The sequence below is a fragment of the Homo sapiens genome, chromosome 3, assembly GCF_000001405.40.
Source record: "Homo sapiens chromosome 3, GRCh38.p14 Primary Assembly".
Classification (NCBI taxonomy): domain Eukaryota; kingdom Metazoa; phylum Chordata; class Mammalia; order Primates; family Hominidae; genus Homo; species Homo sapiens.
Window position 1 is genome coordinate 13,356,113 of NC_000003.12, and position 20,715 is coordinate 13,376,827.

The 20,715-nt window shown below is 52.0% G+C and overlaps 1 protein-coding gene across 5 annotated transcripts in view, besides 1 other annotated feature; it reads right to left on the reverse strand.

Moving 5' to 3' along the window:
* Positions 1–20,715, reverse strand: part of NUP210 (nucleoporin 210) — a 104,088-nt gene that overhangs the window by 39,878 nt on the left and 43,495 nt on the right. For all 5 annotated transcript variants that reach the window (XR_007095651.1, NM_024923.4, XM_011533538.3 and 2 more), the window contains exons 10-16: positions 20,179–20,319; positions 19,392–19,529; positions 17,606–17,761; positions 15,722–15,920; positions 9,834–9,979; positions 4,158–4,379; positions 2,110–2,283 (exon numbers count right to left, since the gene is read on the reverse strand). Coding sequence is in view for 4 of the 5 variants with exons in the window: in NM_024923.4 (NP_079199.2) it covers positions 2,110–2,283; positions 4,158–4,379; positions 9,834–9,979; positions 15,722–15,920; positions 17,606–17,761; positions 19,392–19,529; positions 20,179–20,319 (1,176 nt within the window). In the remaining variant the exon portion in view is untranslated. The remainder of the gene's footprint in view (positions 1–2,109; positions 2,284–4,157; positions 4,380–9,833; positions 9,980–15,721; positions 15,921–17,605; positions 17,762–19,391; positions 19,530–20,178; positions 20,320–20,715) is intronic.
* Positions 17,979–18,480: an enhancer, noted in NCBI's record as "H3K27ac hESC enhancer chr3:13415591-13416092 (GRCh37/hg19 assembly coordinates)". NCBI's record gives its function as "activates a minimal SCP1, AML or CMV promoter by ChIP-STARR-seq in primed H9 embryonic stem cells {active_cell/tissue: H9 hESC(primed)}" and the evidence as "EXISTENCE:reporter gene assay evidence [ECO:0000049][PMID:30033119]".

Genomic DNA, 20,715 nt, shown 5'->3' on the forward strand with positions numbered 1-20,715 from the left:
CAACTGGTGCCCACCCACAGTGAGTGAGCCACACGCTAGAGGACCTGCTCAGAGGGCCAGGGTCAGGCTGAGCCTGGCTCTACCTTGTCATTCTGATCAGTCAATTCCATTCTGGTGTCTCTCCTCACCAATAATTTAATCTGCAAACACATCTTGGGTAGCCTCTGAAGTTGGAGAGTATAAAATTACCTTGATCCTGCATCCAGGCTGCATTGCAGGAATATATCTTTCTCAAAGTTCCCTAATGACTGGCCAGGCATGGTGGCTCACGCCTGTAATCCCAGCACTTTGGGAGGCCGAGGTGGGCGGATCACGAGGTCAGGAGTTTGAGACCAGCCTGACCAATATGGTGAAACCCTGTCTCTACTAAAAATACAAAAATTAGCTGGGTGTGGTGGCGCATGCCTGTAATCCCAGCTACTCAGGAGGCTGAGGCAGGAGAATCACTTGAACCTGGGAGGTGGAGGTTGCAGTGAGCCGAGATTGCGCCACTGCACTCCAGCCTGGGCAACAGAGCGAGACTGTGTCTCAAAAAAAAGAAAAACAAAAGTTCCCTAATGAGGCTGTAAATTGCCAGAGTCACACCTGAATGGCTGGCTGGTGGCTCAGGAACCTGAGCACTGATGGATCACACAGCTACTCCGTGTTTGAGGTCCATTATTTTCTGGCGACATCTATGATGTGCAAAGCCAAATCAGAGTCAAGCCCTGCAGCCATCATATTTAAGTCCAGAGAGACAACACTGGGCTAAAGCAGAGGTCCTGGCCAACAGACAGACCAGGACCAATCCAGCCCCAAGGTGGCCCGCTCAGCTCACAGACAACGCTAAGGACAGGGAAGATGCACATAGGTATGATTTGTTTTTCTTTGAAAATGAGAAAGCTGGGCCAGCCTGGGGTTGAATTGACTGTCCCTGAGCTGAGCAGGCTGCCTGTCCAGAGAGGACCTGCTCTCCAGTTCAGCTACTCCCTGGCCAGTTCTCCAGCAGTGTGGCTTCTCCACCCACGAGTCTGCAAGAGTCAAGGGTGAAGACAGGAGTGGCGCATGCACAGTGCATTCGCTGGTTCACTCATCCTTCGCTCCTAGTTACTGAGCTCCTCCTATGAGCCAGGGTCTGCTCTAGGACTCGCAAAGAATCAATGGAGTGAGTTCCACAGCGTTAGATAGCGGTGAGCTCGCACATGCCCTCCTCAGAGCCCCACTCCGCTCCTCCTGAGCAGCCTCCTCCTCACTCTGCTGCGTGCCCTATTTCACTTCCCTTGCAGCGCTTGCCACCTCTGATCCATCTTATTTGTGCATCTCCTGGTCTCCCTGTCATCTCTGGGAGGCAGGTTCCTTGCCTGTCCTGATTAGTGTGCAATCCAAAACTCAGACCTGTATCTGACACAGAGGACATGCTCCATAAGTACATGCTCAAGGAGTGAGGAGCTGCTCACCCACCTCCTCTGAAAAGGGGCTGGGGGCTGATGCTGGCCAGAGGATGTCCCATGTCCCTTACCCTGGACACACTCAGCACCTTGGGCTCTGAATGCCCTAGGGACTAAGGCATGGATGTGTCTCAAGTCCAAGGGGAGCAGACCTGTGGCTTCCCCTACCATCCCTGCTGTTAGACAAGACTCCCAAGGGACTTTCTTCCTCTCCCAACACTTACTTTTGAAACACAACCCCACGTCACCCACATCATGGGGATGCTGTAGCTGGTCACCTCTCCTCAGCAGCCCCCACGCCTACTCTGACCCTACATACCCTGTCCATAGACAGCAAGCCCCATTTTAACACCCTCAAGGCACAGAAGACAACAAGTTGTTTTTAAACTACCGAGTGCCAAACAAAGGCAGGCAGCAAATGTGGAAGAGGACTCTATCTTCACCTGGCACTGCCACTAGTAGCTGTGACTTTGGTATGTCTCTCACCTCTCCAAGCTGTGTGTCCCCTGCATATAAAACACAAATGAAACCAGCGTCCTCACAGGGCCAGTTGTTGAGACGAAGGAAGTGCAGCGTGGAGCTATGTCCGTTGCAATGCTCGGGACCATGGGCGAGGCCACCAATGTCCTCCTGCCCAAGCGGGTGGCACCCTCACCTCCTCCCGAGCATAGCCCACACTCACCACCTGCTTGTTCTGCTGCAGCAGCGGACAGGACATGTCCAGCTGGGGGCTGGTGTAGACAGGCGCGAGGGTGAGCCTGGACGGTGGGGCGCAGACGAACTTCACCACGGCAGGCTCCACCGCAGGAAAGGGGTTGGTGAGGCTGGGCTTGTTCCCCACCGACAGGGCGATGACCTGGTAGGGCACAGTGAACAGTCAGACCCCCAAGCTTGAGTTCTCACTCCTCTCTGAGCTATGCCACACCCCACCCCAGCTCCCTCTGACTCAGTTTTCTCCTCTATAGGATGGGAGTGATGACGATACCCATGCCACAGGGTCTTAACAAAGGCCCAGTGGCACACAGGTGGGAATGCACTTTCTCAACACCTAAGAGACTCTCAGATGGGAGCCCATGTGCCCTATGGGCTGCTCCTATCCCAGGGAAGAGGTAGACCCGGTGAGGCTTCATGGTTTCCCAGGACCCTGGGAAAACCCCACGGTTGCATTAGAAAATTCACAAGTTCAAGGATGCTTCAATGAGGAGTCCATATGGAGGTGAAAACACCCATGGAACGAGGAACAGACGTGGGAAGTGCATGCTGCAGAATGATGACAGGGCAAGCGAATCAGATAGGAGCTCTGCAGGACAACGCCCAGGAGGAGCTGCAGCCTGGAGGCAGGGCCTGCCCTCCGCCTGCTCATGCTCTGCAGCTCCAGGGGCTGCTGCAGAGAGGGAAATCCATGGTGCAAGAAAAGAGGGAAACCTGTCTGCCTGGAGAGCTGGGACCTCAGAAGTCATATCTGGCCTCCTCTTTTTTGGAGCACCATGGCTCAGGGCCCATCTTGAGGTAGCACCCTCAGCCTCCTCAGATAACATGCACTTGATGGAGGACACGAGCCCCTACCCCTCCTGACCATAAGGCAGGACCAAGGGCAGTGTCCTCCGTGACTCCACACAGGCTTTCTGTCTGCACCTGGTGCCGCATGTGAGGGAGCCACAGAGCAATGGATTGGGAGGGCCCTAGAGGTAACCCCAATTGGAGGTCACATTCTTACAGCCCTGAGAGGGGACAGGGATGGTGGGGTCATGCCAGGGATAAGAAATATATCCAACTTAATTCATGAGGAATTTTATTCTTCTTATTGTATTATTTATTATGATGCTGTTATTGTTCTTGTTGTTTTATTGTTTTTCTAAAACCACCCCACTGGTGAGTGGAACCTATCACCAGGCATCTTTTCTGGCCATACCAGGGCAGCTGTGGCATGGCTGATACCATAAGGGCACCGTGGGAGGCATGCATGTGCGTTTTATTGCCAACTGACATTCTTTGCCCTGCACACATGCAGGAAATACCCTTCACGTCCCAAAGAAATGGGCTCTCTCCCATCTTCCTGATTCCCGCCGAATACCCCTTTTGCTTTGGGCTTCCTGCCTTGGAAACAGAGCAGTAGATGCCCACCAGAAGCCCCACAAGCTCTCAGCTCACCCTCCCCGGGGAAGGAGTGTCAGGCCCCAAGGCGCCTGAACAGCAAGAAGCCCTCCAGCCAGCATGTGGGGATTCAGGTCACACATGTGTTTTGTCTGGTCCCCTCAGCCTCCTCAGCTTTTGGTTTTCAGCATTAAAAAACTTAAGAGATTACCTATACAAAAAAAAATATTGTGATTTCCAGGTTATCCTCAAGAACCAACAAGATGTGTCAAACCTGGGTCTACAGCCTCATTCATTTACGACCCTGGAGACATTGGACTTGTGACCCCCGAACTCAAAGCCTCCAGCTCTGGTTTGGTTAGTGGGGGATGCTGAAGCCCATGGAGGTGGCAAGCCACCCAACTGGCCTACTCTATGAAAGCTGGCATAGCGGGAGGTCCCTATTGCCACACCTGCCTGGCGTTCATTGAGTCACATTCCACCTCACCACGCCTCAGTTTGCCTGTCTGTAAAATGGGTACAATAGGAGTGGCTGTCTCTCAGCGTTACTCCAAGGAGTAAATAAAACAATACTGAGAGAGTCATTTTCCACCCCTGCCTTAGGGCAAGGAGGGTCTGGAGCAGCTGCCCACTCACCTGCTCACCCAAGGCCTGACAGGTCACAAGGATCCAGTGTTGCTGATAATTCCGGGAGGAATGGGGGGCAAAGAGAGCCAGGCCGATGCTGTCAGTGTCCTCAGCGGTGACGTTCTGGAAGAATTTGGACGGCTCGAGGATCCAAGGTCTGGGACCTCCTTCAAACAGCATCTCCTTTGAGGAGCCCAGGGTTACCAAGGCAACAGAGGAGGGATCCACAGCCTGGGGACAGAAGAGGCAGAAGACTTGGCATTCTTCTAAGGCAGCACGGGCAGGAGCCGGGCATCCCAGCCCCACATCCTCACCCCGCTTGTGGGGGCTGGTGGTCAGGCAAGCCCCATCTCCTGTTTGAAACTCATTCTCGTCATCTGCAGCACTCACAGGGATCATTGCAAAGATCCAGAGGAATGGGGTGTAGATAGAATTAAGCCCTCACTCTGACAGACTGCTGGAGGGTGTACATGGATTTGCCTCTTTCGTCAAACAATCTGGTAAAAGCCTTGAAAATACCCACAGCCCTGGAACCCAGGAATTCCCCATCTGGAACCTAACCTAACAACACAATGGAGAGAAACATGTCAATGTACAGACAGATGTTCATCACACTATTATTTCCCACAGCAAATAACCAACAATAATCTACAATCCAGCACAAGGGGCTCAGTACACATGGTGTTTCCCAGTGATGGAACCTTATGCGGGCCCCCAAAGCAGTCTTCGCAAAGATCTACAAGTGCAGGATACAAATCTGATGGTGCCGTTTGATCACAATCATGTTGCTGTAAAAAGCATAAAACCATCCTAAAGAGATATCCACCAGGTGACCAAAGGAGATGCAGCCTGTGGTGTCCTTGCTGGCATCATTGCCAGTGGTCCATTCCCTTCCTTCTGAGCCGCTGGGCTTCCCATACTTTGCACCACGTATGCACGAGCTTCGAGGGTGAGTTTTGTGGCACCTAGAACCATGCCTGGCACATAGCGGGTGCTCAGCAATTCTTTGTTGAATGAAAGTGAGTTGGCAAGTAAAACTATGGAGTCCTTAAAGTACCCAGTAAACAAAGGAAGAATTAAAGTAGTATTTCACACAAAGCTCTCATTTCCTCCATGGCCTAGGGCAACCAGTGGTGCCCAGGGCCCCATGGCCTCCTGGTGTGGGCAATGGCAGTGCTTAGATTCTATGTAACAGGGTGTCATTCCCAGCCAACCTCCAGGAAGACGTGGAGACTCCACAGGAGGACTCCTCCCTCCAGTGACACACAGCAGGGGTGCGGAGAGGAGGGATTCACTCTGAGGGGTCCCGCAGTCCTGCTCCTTGAATCCCTGCCCAGCTGGGCTAACCTCCCACTGCAGAGGGTCCCACTGCAGTGACTGCCAAGTCCTCACTTGTCAGTCTGCTCCCTGCTAGACCCATCTACTCTCCCTTCAAACAGCTGCCCATGTGTCCCTCACTAAGACACAGACCTGACCCTGTCCCTTGTGCATTAAACTATTCCACGCACCCACGGCCCTTGGAATACAGGCTCAGCTTCTGTCCTGGGACTTGGGCTCTCTCAACCTGGCTCCAGTCCCAGCTTCAGACTAGTGGCATCCTTCTAGAGAACCAGGCTCAGCTGTCCCCAGGCCTTCGAAGAGGCTACCCTCCTGTCCTTGTCTCACTTAGGCGACCCCTCCTCACACTGCAGGGCTCAGCACACTGGCCTCCAGAAAGCCCTGCTTCCTCCCCAACCCAGCCCCAACCTGCAGCCCAGGCGACTCTTCTCTGGCCCCCACTTCACCTGGTGCTCCTCACCCTGAAGGAGCTTCATGGCCTGAGAGGTCTCCCTGATCATGCTATAGGCTTGTGGAGGGTACGGTGTGTCTGTTTCCTTCTCTGTCTGTGGCATGATCTTAACCACATGAGGAAGGAAAAACCTTATAAGAAAAATATTCCCTCCCCACCCACAAAAAAACCTCTTCCACCCCTGCACGCGGTGGAAGGGTCATGCTAGCTCTCTGGGTTCTTTTATAAGGGCACTAATCCCAGCCGTGAAGCTTCTGCCCTCATGATCTAATCACCCCTCAAAGGCCTCAGCTCCATTGCTGTGGGGGTCAGCATTTCAACATATGTATTTTGTGGGGACACAAACATCCAAATTATGGCTATCTATGAGGAAGGAAGCCCTCACCAGTCACCAAAATCTGCTGGTGCCTTGACCTTGGACTTCCCAGCTCCTAAACTGCAAGAAAGAAATTTCTGTTGTTTATAAGCTACCCAGTCCAAGGTGTTTCGTTAAGGCGACCTGAACAGACTATGACTTCTCAAATGAGAATTCTGTCCTTTTGACTTTGTTTTTGAATATGAACATTTTTGGGATCTGATATAGGTTATCGACTGTCTCTGGGCATCCCTCCCTGCACATGTGTGCTCACACACAAACAATTCCAAGGAGCCCGCGGTGCCCCTGCTGTAACCCATCCCCGGACTCGACCTTCAACAGAGCCAGGCGTGGCCCCTGTTTCCTGCAGGAGAAGCACTAAGTATGCTCAGGGCCTTCATCTCTGCTCCTCTCAGAACTCCCAGTTCTGCATGCCACTCAGGCCTCTGCCTGAGCGTCACCTCCTCAGGCAGGCCTCTGCTGAGCCTGTCTGAAGCAGGGTCTCCCTTCCCCCGTCACCTCCTTTCCAGCTCAACTCTTCATCTCTGCCCCTCAGACATCACTGGATATACCATCATTTGCTTCTCTGTCCCCACTGGAGTGAAGCTAGTGTGGGACCTTAAACAAGTTAATGTCTACAAGGCTGTTTCCCCATCCTGTGAAATGGGTACAATGATAATGCCTACCTCGCGGTGCTACTGTTGTGATTCAGGGGCTGGAATGAAAGACCTGAATATGTGACTAGCACACGCTCAATCAATGGCCCCTGCTGTTAGAAACTGTTATGATTATTAACTGTCATCCCCACTTTATAGACAGCAAGGATAAATCCCAGCAGATGAAGACACTAAACCAAGCTAACCCAGCTGGTGGGCCCGGGTCTGTTCTGACTCTTGATCCCATGCTCTTACCCACATCTCATGGCCACAACCAATAAAACCCCACTATGGGCAAAGCAGGCCACTGTGTATCTTGCCAAAGACATTTTCATGACCAGCCCAAAGTGAAAGAACTGTGCGAAGGAGCTGTGTGTTCTACAATTAACAACTGGAGGATGAGGAATTATCACCTTCCTGTTTAATTCTCTCCCTTAGGCATGAAAGTATCATGGAACCCTGTGCCAAGGAGACAGGTTAACAACGCAGCTGATGAAGGATGCTCATGAATTGTGCAGGCTCCTCAGCGGATGTCAAAGCCCAAATATTCCAAATATTCCTCACGTGCAACAGAGACATCAATTCCTCTATTGGTTAAGTCCCTGTCACTTGGCTTTTGTTCCTTGTAAATAAACCTGATCTTACCTGCTAACTAGGAAGGAGACAGATGAAAGGAGAAGAGATCCATATCCACTTTTCTCTATAATCTGTCCAATCAGGAAGCCACCTCCCTGAGGGACATGTCTACCTTATCTTCATTGTTACATCCCAGCTCAGGACTGTGAGCTCAGCTTCTGGCTTCTGCTGCTCCAGCCAAACACCCTGATAATCCAGAGCCAGGAGGGGCCCTGAAGAACCCCTCTCCAGGTGCCTGGTGAAATGCTCTAGCTCCCAGAAGGTGCGCAGGGCAACCCCAGAATGCCTGCTGTGCTCGGGGATTTCAACTCTCTCCACTCTGCTCTCTGACACTCTCACCTGCTGCAGTGCTGTGCTTGAGTTGGGATGTGGGGGCAGGTCTTGATCTCCTCATTTTAAACTTCCACCCCCATCACCCCTTCATGCTCTACTTTTTTCATGGCAAGCAGAGGTAAAATACATTCTTTGCTTTGTTTATGGTCATCTCTACCTCTCTTTGCCAGAATGTCACTTCATGGGGACAAAGGTTCTGTGTTCTCTGCCCTGGTGCAACTCTAGGGCCTGCAGAAGGGATTGCACAAGTAGGTAGGTATTCATGCCTGTGTGCTAAAGGAACAAATGTGTGGAGGATGAGGAGCAGGGCTAGGCCTCTGATCACTAATGGACATCTGAGAAGTGTCTGTTATGTTTGCTCTGGAGGTCAGGAGGCCTTGGCTTCTGCCCTGGCTGGGTGACCTTGGATACATTTCCTCACACGTTCATTCTAAACAAAACCACCCTTGGTTGATGTCTGCTCTGTGCCAGGCACTGAACCCAGGGCTAGGGGTTCAGAGATAAAAGATCCTAACATCGCCAGGCACGGTGGCTCACGCCTGTAATCCCAGCACTTTGGGAGGCTGAGGTGGGAGGATCATCTGAGGTCGGGAGTTCGGGACCAGCCTCACTAACATGGAGAAACCCTGTCTCTACTAAAAATACAAAATTAGCCGGGGATGGTGGTGCATGCCTGTAATCCCAGCTACTCAGGAGGCCGAGGCAGGAGAATCGCTTAACCCTGGAAGGCAATGGTTGCGGTGAGCAGAGATGGCGCCATTGCACTCCAGCCTGGGCAACAAGAGTGAAACTCTGTCTCAAAAAAAATAAACAAATAAAAGAAAAAGAAAAAGAAATCCTAACATCACCAGGCTTGCTTCCAATGAATGCCTGAGAGGAAGAAAAAAATGGGACAAACCATGAGGACCGGAGCTGTCTTCAAGGCTGACACTGGGAGCAGAAAAATGCAAGGACTGCCTGACCAAGCCAGGGAGTCTGGGGCTCCCCTAGGACTGCTCTCCAGCCCTCCCTGGAAGGAGGAGCAGGAACTCCCCATCAACAAACCCTCTCTGCGCCTCCTGCAAGCTAGGCAGAGTTCAAAGAAAGGAATGATTAGTCAGCAGCCTCCTGCATGGCAGCCCTCGCACGGAGCCTTCACACCCACCCCAGAGGAAGGCCCAGTTCTTTTTTATCCGTGTATAATAACTAACCCTTCCTGAGCCTGCACTACCCCCTAGACTGTGTTCTGAGCTCATTCCATTTGTGAGCTCAGCAAATCCTCATCACGACCCCATGAGGCAAGAGCTGTCTCAGTCCCATTTTACAGGCAGGGAATGTAAGGCCCAAGAGTGGGTGGGGGTCAGGCTGGTCTCAGCTCAGGAGGGTGGTATGGACACTGAGGCTATGTGGTCTGCTCCGCACAGGCCGTGGCCACCACTGTCCTCAGATGGGGAGCAGGATGGATGCACACTAGGCCAGGGCAGATCCTCTCTGACCCCAGTCTTGGAGGCCTCAGCATCTGCCATACCACACGGCCGCTGTCCTAATTCTAGGGCTCTGTGGGGACCCTGAAGGTTAGCTCTGGAGTGGAGCAGAAGCACTCCCCTGTTCTGACCCTTGCTGAACACACTTCTGAAGCCCTTGCAGCCCACACTCCTACCTTCGTTGGGAGAGGCTGGCAGGTCGGTGTCCTGCCAAGCCTGCCAAGCGCTGTCTCGCGTAACCACAGAGATGCCCACAACCACTGCCCCATCAGGGAGGCTCTGCTCCTTCCACATGAATCCTGCTTTCAGCCAGAAATCATGGGAGAGGAAGCTGTGCCAAAAGCTATTTTGAAGGAATCGGGTTTATCATGCAAATTCGTCAGAGCAAATGGGTAATTTGCATCTGGGAAGGAGTGGGCAGGGGGGTGGTAAAGGGCAGGGCCCCTGGCTCACCTTGAGGGGCAGGTAGGCAGCAATGGTGATCTTGGCACTCAGGTGGACGTGGCCGTGTCTGTAGCTCACAAGAAGCGTGGTAGAGCCCTGGGCCTCGGCCTTTACCCGGATGCCGCTGCAGTGCTCAGAGCCTGGCGGCAGCCTCCCTACAGAAAGGAGAGAACTAGATGGTCACCCTGAAATCACTTTTTTCTTTTTTTTGAGATGGAGTCTCGCTGTGTTGCCCAGGCTGGAGTACAGTGGCATGATCTTGGCTCACTGCGACCTCCGCCTCCGGGGTTCAAGTGATTCTCCTGCCTCAGCCTCCCAGATAGCTGGGACTACAGGCATGGACCACTACACCCGGCTAATTTTTGTATTTTTTTTAATAGAGACGGGGTTTCATCATGTTGGCCAGGCTGGTCTTGAACTCCTGACCTCAAGTGATCAATCTGCCTCAGCCTCCCAAAGTGCTGGGATCACAGGTGTGAGCCACTGTGCCCAGCCCTGAAATCACCTTTGGTGGGGAAGGCACAACAGGCTGGGGGCCCCCTCTTTCATCCCAGGCTTGATCCTTGATCTGATTTCTTTCTTTTTTTTTTTTTTTTTTTGAGATAGAGTCTCACTCTGTCTCCCAGGCTGGAGTGCAGTGGTGCTATCTCAGCTCACTGCAAGCTCCACCTCCCGGCTTCAAGCGATTCTCCTGCCTCAGCCTCCCGAGTAGCTGGGATTAGAGGCATGCGCCACCACGCCCAGCTAATTCTTTGTATTTTTAGTAGAGATGGGGTTTCACCATATTAGCCAGGATGATCTCAATCTCCTGACCTCATTATCCACCCCCCTCAGCCTCCCAAAGTGCTGGAATTACAGGCATGAGCCACCGCACCCGGCCCTGATTTTTAAAAAAATATTTAATTCAGCCAGGCACGGTGGCTCACGCCTGTAATCCCAGCACTTTGGGAGGCTGAGATGGGCGGATCACCTGAGGTCAGGAGTTTAAGACCAGCCTGACCAACATGGAGAAACCCTGTCTCTACTAAAAATACAAAAAATTAGCCAGGTGTGGTGGCGCATGCCTGTAATTCCAGCTACTCCGGAGGCTGAGACGGGAGAATCACTTGAACCCAGGAGGCAGAGGTTGCAGTGAGCCGAAATCGCACCATTGCACTCCAGCCTGGGCAATAAGAGTGAAACTCTGTCTCAAAAGAAAAATAAAAATGTTTAATTCACGGCCGGGCATGGTGGCTCACACCTGCAATCCCAGCACTTTGGGAGGCTGAGGTGGGAGGATCACCTGAGGTCGGGAGTTTGAGACTAGCCTGACCAACATGGAGAAATCCCGTCTCTATTAAAATACAGAATTAGCCGCGTGTGGTGGCGCCTGTCTGTAATCCCAGCTACTTGGGAGGCTGAGGCAGGAGAATTGCTGGAACCTGGGAGGCGGAGGTTGCAGTGAGCCGAGAACGCACCATTGCACTCCCACGTAGGCAACGAGGGAGCAAAACTCAGTTAAAGAAAAATAAATAATATTTAATTCACATGAGTATATAATTCACAATGATTTTTCCACATACTGGACCCACCCTATATGCAGCACCCACATCAACAAATAGAATATTATCTGTACCCCCAGAATCTCCTGGAAACCCTTCTGGTATTTGGCCTTTCCCTAAAGGAAAACCGCCCCCCTGGCGCCTACCAGCACAACTGAATCATGCTTGGTATTGTTCCCATAAAGGGAACCATGGGCATAACTCTTTTGTGCCTGGCTTCCTCAACTCAGCAGTGTTCATGGGATTTCTCATTGGTCACACCGTGAAGATCCTTTGTCCACATTCTCCATATGATTCTGCTGCATGAATATAGAGCAATAGACTGACCCATGCTATGGTGCACATCTGGGTTTCTTCCAGTTTGGGGCTGTGCTACACGGTATTGCTGTAAACATCTGGGTGCCTTCCTCTTGGGGGACACACCTGGGCATTTCTGTTGCGTGCGTCCCTAAGAGAGGAAGTGCTAGGCTGCAGGGCGTGCATGTGTTTAGCTGTAGAAATTGTTGGTTGCTGTTGTTAAATATCTTCCCAAAGTGGTTGTGTCAATTTACACTGCTGCCAACGGCTGCCCTACATCCCTGCCATTATTAAATTTTAAAATTTTTATTTTTTTTTTGAGACAGGGTCTTGCTCTGTCGCCCAGGCTGGAGTGCAGTGGCACAATCTTGGCTCACTGCAACCTCCACCTCCCAGGCTCAAGTGAGTCTCCTACCTCAGCCTCCTGATTAGTTGGGACTACAGGAGTGAGCCACCACACCAGGATAGTTTTTTCATTTTTTTGTAGAGGCAAGGTCCCATTATGCTGCTGAGGCTGGTCTCAAACTCCTGGGCTCAAGCAATCCTCCCATCTCGGACTCCCAAAATGCTGGGATTAAGGGCATGGGCCACCGTGCCCAGCCTAAAATTTTATCTTAAAAAAAAGTTTTAAAAAAATTCTGATAAAATACAACTAAGATAAAATTTCCCACCATAACACCTTTTGTGTGTATAGTTCAGTGGCATTAAGTACATTTATGCAGCCTGTGAATGGATGTCGCCACCATCCATCCACACAACTCTTCAACTTACAAAACTGAAACTCTGCACCCAATATACAGTAACTTCCCAATTCCCCTCACTCCAGTCCCTGGCCACTACCATTATACTTCCTATCTTCATGAATTTTATTACTCTAGGTATCTCATACAAGTGGGATCATAGAGTATTTGTCCTTTCGTGACTGGCTTACTTCACTGAGCATGATGTCTTCAAGGTTCTTCCATGTTGCAGCATGGGTCGGAATTTCCTTCCTTCTTAAGGCTGAATAATATTCCACTGTATGGATAGACCTCATTGTGTTCATCCATTCTTCCAACGGTGGACACCTGGGTTATTTCCACCTTTTGGCTATTGTGAATAACACTGCCATGAACATGGGTGCACAAATACCTCTTTCGGATCGTACTTTCAACACCTTTGGATGTGCACCCAGATGCAGGATTGCCTGCTGGATCATACGGTAACTCCATGTTTACTTTCTTGAGGAACCACCATACTGCTTTCCACAGCAGCAGCACCTTTCACATACACACCAGCAGCACATAAGAGTTCCAGTGTCTTCACATCCTTGTCAACATTTGCTGTTTTCTGTTGTTTTGATCGCAGCCATCCTAAGGAGTGTAGTGCTTTTCATTGTGGGTTTGATTTGCACCACTCTGATGATGAGTGATGTTGAGCATCTTCCCGTGTGCTTATTGTCCGTGTATCAGCTTTGGACAAATATCTATTCAAGTCCTCTGCCTACTGTTTGATTGGGTTATTGGTGTTATTGCTGCTGACACGTAGGAGTTCTTTACATATCCTAGATATTAACCCCTTATACAATTTGCAGATGTTTTCTCCCATTCTGTAGGTTGCCTTTGTACTCTGTGGTGTCCTTTGATATATAGAACTTTTTTATTTTGTTGTAGTCCAGTTTGTCTATTTTTAATTTGTAGCCTGTGCATCTGGTGTTATACCTAAAAAAAAATGCCAAATTCCAATGTCCTGAAGCTTTCCTCCAGTTTTCTTTTAGAAGTTTTATAGTTTTCAATTTTATATTAGGTCTTTGATCCACTGTGACTTAATTTTTGTGTTTGGAGTTATGGAAGGGTCTAACTTCATTCTTATGCATGTCGATACGTGGTTGTCCCAGCACCATTTGGTAAATAGACTGTCCTTTCCCCATTGGACAGTCTTGGCACCCTTACCAAAAATCATTTCACCATGTACGAGCAGGTTTTTATCTGGGCTCAGTATTCTATTCTGTAAGTCTGTCTATGCCAGCACCGTGTTGAGAGAGTTACAGTAGTGCCCACAGCCCAGGGGCTTTCAAGAAGATGCCACCCAAGAGGGCAAGGCAGAAATGGGACCGCCAAGTCCAACTGCAGTAAGCAGAGGGAGCCACAGAGGGGAGGCCAGCCTGGGCCAGGGCTACCAGGGCTCCTCCTCAGAGCCATGATCAGAGTCTGGCTACCTGTGCTCTGAGCCTGGGAGGTGGCAGAGGGAGTTTACCTAACATGGGACCAAATTTGTTTCTTTAGCTGAGTAAGCTCCAGGGTGGGTATTATAGGGACAGGTCAACCTGCTGATCCAACCTGCTCTTGAGCCCCATGGGTTTCTGTGGGGTGAGCATCTCTGTCCTGACAGAGCCCAGGTTTCTAAGATACATATTTTCATACAGCCTGGGCCCTACACACCTCCCTACACATTACCATGCACACTCCACACCAGGGGCGGTACAAGGCACTTCCTAAGAGAAATTTGACACCACAGGATTCCCATCTTGACTGCTGTTTTCAGAAGTCAAACTCCTGGAGAAACGCCCTGCATCGTGCTGAGGGATATTCACTTGTAACCATCACAATAAGCAAGAGCTGTCATCCCATTTTACAGTTAAAGAACCCAAGGCTCAGAGAGGCTAGGCAGCACACCAGCATCATACAGCCAGCAAGGGAGTGGAGTGGCTCAGACCCAGGCCTGTGGAACTCCAAGCCCTGAACTTTCCTCCCGGGGACCTGAGCCCATGCCTGAGCAGCACCCTGCAGACTCCCTCCAGGACGGTTGTGGCAGGCAGTGCAGGGGAGTGGTTCGTGTCCTGCTGTCAGCGGGCCTCTCCCACGTGCAAGACTTTTCCTCCATCCTAAATGATTACCTGGCAATGACACTGTAGACTTCATGAGCTTAGTTTCTCCTGGATGCAGTATGCTCAGGGATTTTTCAGAGATACTGGCCTCCTTCTGTGCAGCTTCAAACTGCAAAAGCTCTGCACGTAATTACAGCTACAGTTGCACGCACAGCCACTTGGCACCACAGGCGATCCTACAAACACCTCTGCCAATAAAGCTTCCTAAACGCTGCCAGGATCACATCGCTCTTCTGTTCAAAAACCTTCAGTGGCTCCCCACTGCCTGGACACTAGGTCCAAGCCCTCCAAAACACGCTGTGATTCAACGGGTCCTCTGTTCCCAGTCCTCCACGTGCACAGGCACCACGGACTGCCCACCTCTGGGCCCTGGTACAGGCGCCCCTGCTCACCAAATGGTGTCCCTGTTAACCTCCAAAGCTCTGCCCAAATCTTACTCCTATTCAATAGTTCACCTGTCCTTTGGTCTTCTTCTTCGGCAAATCAGAGAGGAAGCCCTTCCTTTCCTTATCTTTAAGGCCCGTTTCACAGGTGAGTAAAGCCACAGGGTCAGTGTCAGCCACGCCCAGATCTGCACCCCATCCCTGTCCCAGGCCATGTGTGACCTTAGGCAGCTACAGCTACACAGCCTCAGTTTCTTCATCTGTCACATGGGCCAATAACAGATCCTTCTCCTAGGGTGGTTGTAAAGTCCTAAGGAGGTCAGGCATGCAAAGTGCCTGTCCTGTCCTGACAGGACTGACACTGGATAAACTATCACAGTCAGACTCCACCAATGTCACCATCAAAATCCCACAGCAGATGCGGCAGAGAACAGATGGGTGGGCCTTGCCTGTCACAGGTGAGAGGACCCTAGAATTAACCAAACCCCTATTGACAACGCATTCTGAATACCAACTGCATTCCAGGGACTAAAATAGGCACTTTGATGTGATTCTATGTAGATGACACACAGCTTAGAGATGTGAAAACTGAGGCTGAGCGAGGCCACTGATTTCCCGAAGTCACACGGTGGGCAAGATCCAGGCCAGACAGGAACAGACTGTGGATCAGGAGACAACTGCCATTCCTTATGTTGCAGCCCCTCTGCTGCCTCAAGCCCTCTCTTTGGGAATCTGGCGGTCCATGCTGAGAACCCAGACAATCTGGCCCCAATCCCAGTATCTGGCACCTGCTCAGCAGCGCTGGTTTACCTGGGAGTGGCTGGAACACACCCTGGTTCTCCACCTCGACAGCCAAGTCAAAGTGGGAGCAGTCGCTCAAGGTGACCACCTCACTGGCCCCGCCGGGCATGAGGCCACTGATCCTCAGGGGCAGCTCCAGGGCCTGGCCCACACGTGCCTCCACCTGGCACGGGGCAAACTCCATGCTGTGGGGCTCGATCACATACACCTGGAAGACAGGGGCATGGCCTGGGCTCAGCTGCCTCCACAGGAGAGGCAGGGCCTGTTGCTCGGATATCCTAAGTGCTGCTGTGTGCTGAGCACTGAGGATACATCTGTGAGAAGCCTGTCACGGGCAGTGGGGTGATTCAGGGACAGAGAGCAGGGGAGGCCTCTCTGAGGAGTGGCCTAGGAGCTCAGATCTGAGAGCCACAGCCAAGGCAGCCAGGCAAAGCCTGGGGGAAGAACACTCTGGGTGAAGGGATGGTGCGTGCAAAGGCCCTGCAGCACCTACCAGGCCAGCACCTTGGAGGAACATGGAGTCCAGTGTGCTGAAGTGCACTGTGCAGGGGCAGTGGAAAGAGACGGGGCTGGCAACCATGGTGAGGAATCAGTGTTTACTGTGGCTGAGCTGGGGGACCTCAGAGGTCCCCACCACCCTGGCTTCTGTGTACCGATCAGCAGCCAGGTGAGCAGTGTGGTGAGGAGGCTGTTGGAAAGCCCCAGAGAGAGATGCGACAGCTTGAGCCAGGGCAGGCGTGTTAGGACCAGTGAGATGTGGGATGTGTTCTGAATGTCTGGCTCATCAGATGGACTGGTAGAGCGGCTGGAGCCAGGAGAGAGGTAAGCACAGCCATGATTGCATAAAACTAGAATCCCACCTCCTGGTTAAGGAGGGGCTCTCCTCAACCCCACTCACCTGGCGAAGCACTGGCCTGAAGGGAAAGGGCAGGCTCCCTTACAGCATGCTGGGTCTGAGTGCAAGCCCCGCCAGCTGGCCCCGGAAGCCAGGTTCTACCCAGAACGCACGCTGCCTCCTGAGGAACTGTCCTCAGGATCTGGCTGGGCTGCTGGGCGAACAGTGGCACAAGGGGAAACTGGGGTGAGAGGACAGGGGTCCCAGTTTATCCCAACGCTGGACCTCATGCTTCATCTCAAGGGCCTGTGTGAAGCCCCCTCTCCATGAGAATCAGGCCTCACTTTAGATAGAGGTGGCTCTGGGTCTCAAGCGGAAGACTGGCCAGCCTATCCATCCCTGTCCCCAATACTGTAAGAGCAGGCTGCAGCTGGACTCCATGGGACACCCCTTCCTGCCCCAAATGAAGGAATAAAGGGGCTGAGGTCAGAGCACTAGGCAAGTATGGCCTGGGGTCAGTGGCCACAGGTGGGGCTGGCAGAGGCTCAGCTGTGACCACCACCACCTGCCACCATTGTGAAGTGAGATGGCCCCATGTCACTTAGGGCCAAAAGCCAGGTGTGGGGACCTGTGCAGGGAACACCTGCCTTTGTACCCAAAGGTGAGTGAAGAGAGAGGAGTCTGGCCTGGTCTCTCGGAGCCTGGTGGTGCCCTTTCACTGTGAGTTTACAACCCAGTGCTTGGTGGACCTTCCAAATGGAGATTACTATCTTTCAGGTCTGGGGAATTTTCTAGAATGGCTCTTAGATTATCTCCCCTCCAGAAACCCAGCTCTGTGGACACTGGCCTTTCTGGGCCCATTGTTGGCTGGTGTGAGACATCCTGTCCATCTTCCTGACATGGCCGTGAGCTCCTAAGGGAAGGGCTGGGGCTTGAGCTCCTAAGTACAGGACCCAAGGTTGGGGGTGTTTCTGAGTGAAGTCGAGGCTTGCTCAGAGGGGGCGGCTGGAGACCACCATCCGAGCCTCCCAGGGGGTGTCTTGGCCCTGAGATCTCACCTTCATCTCACCGAAATGGAGTGGGTTCTGCACATCATGTGCCTGGATCACACTGAACCCGATGTCACTGCCTGTGGTCATCACGCCCTTGACAGTAACTGTGGCAACCAGGTGGCTTGACGAAGACCAGCTGAAGTTCCCACTGCCACCGTGGGCCTGCGGAGGAAAAGCCATCACAGGACCAGCCACCCACCCTTAGCCTGCTGGGGAAGTCAGAGGGTCAGAGACACGTGCGTGTGCATGCACGTACTCACACTCATACACATTTATCCTCACACTCATGGGTTCACCCATGCACACACTCACCATTCACACTCACATGTACAGCTACTTGCCCATTCACTCACACACTCACCCTCACACTCATGCTCACTTACCACTCACATCCACAGTGCACACCACGTACACCTACTCACCTGCTCACACTCATTTACTCTCATGCTCACATGCTCACCACTCACACCCACAGTGCACACTCATACACCTACTCATTCGTACACATGCTCACTTACATTTACCTTCACACTCACGCTTTCACCCACTCACCATTCGCACCCACGGTACACTCACATACATTCACCTACTCCCACCAGCTTATCCTCACACGCACACAAACTTTCTCACACATACATACGTTCACACATATATACTCGCACCAATACACTCAAACACATACACACTCTCACAGGCTCTAAAACACCTGTGGCCACTTCCTCACTGACACACAAGGTCGATGCCCACAGCAGGGAAAAATGTGGTATCAGCTAGGGTCTGGCTAGAGGCTCCCCCTGCCCTCACCCTCTTTGTCCTGTCTCGTTTCTGTCCTCATATTCTGGGGACCTCGAGACCGATGCACACAAACACACACGCCCATGACAGAGGCCCCAGAACCTGGTGGCACCTCCCAGAGCTCAGGCTGGAGTGGGACGAACCCTTGGTCACCGAGCCAGTTGCAGGATGCTGCCTCCCTGACCAGACACAAGCTCCCAGCACACACCCCTGCCCATTCCTCATTGTCTGCTGGGAGGTCAGCGACTGCACCTCTGCTCCCAGACCAGAGGAAACAACCCCAAAACCCAAGGGGCCAGGATGGTGACGCACCTGAGCAGAGAGCCGGTGCCAGTGCACAGACAGGACACCTGTCACCACTCCATGGGACAGCAGGACTGATGTGCCCTGCACTGACCACGAGGACTCGAGCCCTGTCTAAGGCGAGTCCTGCTGGCTAATGCCAGGTGGAAGTATTAAGGTCAGAGCAGTGATCCATCCCATGTGATGAGGTTGGAGATACTTATCCCTTAAATTTTAATGTTTTCTCTAAGGGTGTGTGTATATATATAATGCTTTCAAAAAAGATTTTTAGAAAAATAAACATTAATGAAATTCAAAACTGTATTCCAGGTTTTCTTTATTCTATTTTTTCTCTTTTTTTTTTTTTTTCCTTTTTTTGAGTAGAGATGGAGGTCTCCCTATGTTGCTCAGCCTGGTATCAAACTCCTGGGTTTAAGCAATCCTCTCACTTCAGCCTCCGAAAGTGCTGGGACTGCAGGTGTTAGCCACCGCACCCTGCCTTATTCTCAATTTTTTCATTGTTGGTTTTTGTTGTTTTTTTTCCTAATTACCAGAATGCATTGCTATGATGGAAACCTCAGGAAACATAAAGACTGTGATTTAAAATTCTCCACAACCACTAGAGAGTAATACTAAAAGTAATAGAATGGACAAAAAGCCACAATCCCATGAAAACACCAAAGGAATGCACGCAGAGGTGAGGGGTCTCACGTACCCTTATTGTGTACTGATAGGCGCCCGTCTTTGGTTGCCACGGAAATGTCAAGATGCTGGGATACAGGGTGATCGGGATGTGAATTTCCACCTCCTGCTGGTTCCACACAGGCACCTGTAGTATGTGGACCCCTCCATCCTACAAGGGGTGAGGGTGCCACACGTAACCATGACAACCATGTCATCATCAGTCTTTCCCAGTCACCGGACCCCCACCCCTCCCTGGGGATCGGGTCACAAAGGTGGATTTGGGGGAAGAGTGGAGAGGAAGGTGCCAGACACCCTGCTGCCCTCTCTTTCTCCACGGGGATGGCTTTGTGAAGTGCTTTCTGGAAATGCTGCCTGACTGAATCCTCAGGGCACCCCAGCAGGATGGATGTGGTGTCCCCCCCAACTTTACAGATGGGGAAACTGAGGCTTGAGAGCTAAAGCAGCCCGCCCAGCCCCCAGAGCTGAGGAGGCCGACTCTGGCAGGAGTCACTGTCGGTGCATGGGCATTTCTTCCTGTTACAGCCTGCTGCCCCTTCCAGGCCAGGAGGCCTTCTGTGCGGGGTAGGAAAATGGGAACACCCAGGCCGATTTTCCAATCAGCAAAGCTCTGCTCCCTAAGGCTGATGGGCTTCTTAAAGACTAAGGAAAATAGAACCCAGGATGCAAGTAGCCCAAACAGGAAAAGGGATGCAGGTGGCCCAACTCCCTGGGACTCATGGCCCTCCTGGGCTGACATTTCTGCCTACAGAGGGTGGCTTCATAGGACAAGGCACGACGCAGGGGAGACACCAACTTGCCTGGTCCACCACAGAGGTGAGGGCCGCGTCAATGGCCGTCTGTCCCCTCTTTAGTGCCCTGATGCGATGGTATGACCCATTCTGGGAGGACGAGAGCACCTCGAAGAACTCAGCAGGAAGCACAGTTTCAATTCGGATGTTCTGGAAGGTGAGGCAGGACAGGAGAGAGGTGCTTCTGGGGTGACTCCAGAAAGTCAGAATTTGGGCACGAAGCTACAGGACTGAAACCAGCAGCCAGGCCAGGCCAAGGGGCCCCCTGGGGCTCAGCAGCCTCCACTAGCAGCAGACGGGTGGGCTGGGCCCTGGAACAGAGGTCTGATCACTATGGCCTTTGTCCCCACCGAGGCCACCCTCCCTGCATGGCCTGATGACCTGCGCTTCGATTTCATCCCCCCGTGTGGCACCTGGGGCAGCTTGGAGCCTACCGAGGTCTCAAGAAGGAACCAGTAAATACAAAAAAAAGGACATCACGTCCCCTACAGCTAACTGCAAATGGTGACCATCCCAGCCCTTGTTTGATAACATGAGCAAAGCAAC